We start from the raw sequence: 3587 nt of genomic DNA on the forward strand, positions 1-3587 counted from the left end.
AATCAATAACAAAATAAGAAATTTTGAGTATGAAATTAAATTAATCAAAGCAGATTATTTTGCACTGGTAACAATCTCTTCCGTAATACTTTGACATTAACCCTTTCTGAACTTCTATAAATGGAATAGCTTGTTCCACCCAATTTAACACAGCTTTATATCCATTCAGTGGCAAGCTCTCTAACAAAAAATTGCATGGTGTTTTACAATTGATCAAATCTTCTATGTATTTTTTCATTTTATGACTTTAACCCTTAACAGTCTCTATGAATGAGCCATTATCTCCAACACCTTTATTCACACTTGCACAAATGCGCCAAGTTTAGAGTGCTGTTAAGTGACAGAGTTGGATTAATCGGAAAATCTGGAATTCAGCTCACATTCTGACACATGCTTGGCTGTCTGATCATAGAAAAACCACTGGCTTCTCAGTTACAGTTTTCTTATATGTAAAATGGACATAATTATGATTTAACCATCCCATACAATTATAAGAGGATTAAACAATGCAATATAAGATATAAAGCAATTTCTCAATGCATGATGCTTCTTGTCTGTAATTTTACTTTGTGCTCCACAGTCTACTGTAAAGTCTGTTATTCTTTTTATACTACTCTCTGTTCAATCCACTTTGATCATCCTAGGAAAGGAATGTAAAAAGCTATATTAAGAAAATAAATACATATGTGTTATATATATTTAATATAGTTCTATAAAGATATATGTATATAAATAATAGTATTCATATTAGTATCAGCACAATATTCACATTATAAATTGCAATGATTATAAAATATATCCATTATACAGATTATATATAACAATTTCAATGATAAATATATCATTCATATTGAATATAAACATTTTTATATATTAATTACATGATATGCACAATGCACAATATGTTCCTATATTTTGTATGTGTGACAGGGAATTTTGGCAGGATTAAATTTGAACTGGGCATAGGTTGTATATGCAGAAAACTAAACATGATGCCTGTACTAAGATTAGAGTTAAATATACCTGAAGAGAGGGCATGAAAGCATCCCTTATCTCCACTCTCAGGAGCTTATACACACACAATGAACAATACCAGCCACAAGTATCTATTGTAAATTAATATTTACCTGAACACAAAGAGGCTTCCAAGGATAAAGGGGACCAATGTCCAGAGCCTTTCCTGATCAAATGATTGCTAATTTTGGCAACCAGTCCAGCTGAGGCCTCTGCTGTCCAGGTTTCAGATAATGTTGACTGAGAGTGCTTTTGGTAGGTAGAAGAAGGAGCATGAAAAGATGTCCATATCCTAATCCCTAAACCTATACATATGTTCATTTACATGGAAAAGGAGACTTGGAAGATGTGATAAAGTTAAGAATCCTGAGATGATCCAGAGGGGATGATCCTAAATTATTTACATGTATCCACTGAGATGACTAGGGTCCTTACAAGTGAAAGAGGGAAGCAGAAGAGGCAGAGGCAGATTAAGAAGTGACGACAGCACCAGAAGTCCAAGAGATGTAGCCTCAAGTCAAGGAATGTGGGCCACTCCTAGAAGTTAGAAAATCAAGGAATAGATTTTCCTCTAGAGGATCCAGACCACAGCTCTGTTAATATTTTATTTTTATCCTGCATGACCTATTTCAGACTTCTGACCTCCAAAATTGTGAGATACTAAATGCATGTTGTTTTAAGCCACTGTTTGTGGCAATGTGTCACTGCAGCAATAGGGAAGTAATACAGTGCTGTTTCCAGCCTGCAGAAATGCCTCTTGGCCAGTTTCATTGTCACAGGAGTTGTACTAACATGCTTCCCCTATATGCTAGTTTGAAGCAAAATGCATCAAAACTTTCCTGGCCTTTTGTAACCTAGGACACTGTTGTCCTTTGCTTCTGATGTTTTGCACATTGTGCACGTTCACATTTCACTGTTTCTGATTTCACTCCTAGCTCAGTGTCTTTGAGTCTTAGCATAAATCAAACGGGAAAATGAACCAGAGACAATGGGCATACCAGACTCCATGCTATACGTATAATCAGCCTCTCTTCTCCTATCCCACTTGGGACCAGAGACCTGTATATCTTGTACACAATAGTATTACCAATACACACCACAGTGTCTGACTTATGGTGAAATTTAATGCAGATTTATTGACTGACAGCCCAACCTTGGGCCAGCCTCATGCAGATATAGGCCTTCTTTGGGCTCCTTCTAGCTCTACCCCAGTGCTTGCTTTATGCCTCACACACTACCCCTCCCTGCTACTCTTTCAGAAGGCATAGAATGTGAGCCCTTTTTTCACCAGCCCTCATATGTGTTCAAGGTGATCAGATTCTAGAATAAATGTTGTTGTGAAGTCTTAGACCCAGGGGCCTGTGAAGGTAAGCTTTTTGGAAATAGAATTTTTACAGATGTAATTAATTCAAGATGAGGTCATATTGAATTCAGGTACAACCTAATCCAATACTTGATGTCCTTATTAGAAGAGAAAAATGTGGACACAGACACAAACAAAAGGAATACAACCATGTGTAAGCAGAGGCTGAGTTTTAAATTACACTGTCTTGAGCCAAGGAATGCTAGGGATGGCCGGTGGCCACCAGAAGCTAGGAGAGCAACCTGGAAGAATTTTTCCCTCAGAGCCTGTGGAAAAGCCCAAGCCTGCTTGATTTAGATTTCTGGCCTCCTTTAACAGGAGAGAATGAGCATCTATTGTTTTAGGCCACCCAATTTGTGATAATTTGTTACAGCAACCTCAGGAAACTAATACATACAGTTAGACTAATGCTAGGATCTTTGCTACTTGTGCATAACTTTATATCCAATCATCCATATGCATGTAATATATTACATCAATCCACATGCACAAAGCCACTCCACTTTTGTGTTGATTTGGGCTGACAAAGATGGATCTATTTTTGCCATCCCAGTAGGAGGGGAACACTCTGCACATTCCTCTGCCTGGCAGGGTCCTCACTGGGCTAACCTGCACTCATTGACATCCTCTGCTTATAAAGTGAATGTTAATGTGTCAGCACAGCAGTGTTCCTGTTAACTACTGATTTGTTTTCTCATTTGCGTAAACACAAACGGAACTCTCTGTGATGCTAGGGAAAGAAACCCTCATCAGGGAGTTTTATAGGTTGCATAAGTGTTTCTGACACCTGGGCTTCATTGTAGATACATAATCCAATGTCTGAGCTGCCCATTTTCTTTTGTAAACTAAAAGTTCAAAAATTTTACCACATGATGTTTGCTAAATCCTTCAGGGAACTAGACATAGTGCGTTAAAAATAAAACCAGGTAACCCCAACTCAGGGGTCCAACACACACTGTGGCCTTATTCTGATTAAAACAGCAGGATGTGCTGTGATTACACAATCTGAACAGTGAGAGTATATTCTGGAATAATCCTAAACTACCTCAAAGTCTCAAAACCAAGTAGTAATCATGGCAGTGCCCAACCCCCAGGCTGCTGTGTGAGGTGTATTTCAGAAGACTTCCTCTTTGTAACAACTATCTGTCAGCCCAGGGGCCATTTTCTCCCGTGCTCTTAATTGTATTCAGAGAATAGTGAGATTGTCAAA

At 38.0% G+C, this 3587-nt stretch overlaps 1 annotated feature.

The window, feature by feature from the left end:
- Positions 2711-3293: an enhancer, noted in NCBI's record as "OCT4-NANOG hESC enhancer chr4:12659655-12660237 (GRCh37/hg19 assembly coordinates)". NCBI's record gives its function as "activates a minimal SCP1, AML or CMV promoter by ChIP-STARR-seq in naive H9 embryonic stem cells {active_cell/tissue: H9 hESC(naive)}" and the evidence as "EXISTENCE:reporter gene assay evidence [ECO:0000049][PMID:30033119]".

Source organism: Homo sapiens, chromosome 4 (assembly GCF_000001405.40).
Source record: "Homo sapiens chromosome 4, GRCh38.p14 Primary Assembly".
Classification (NCBI taxonomy): domain Eukaryota; kingdom Metazoa; phylum Chordata; class Mammalia; order Primates; family Hominidae; genus Homo; species Homo sapiens.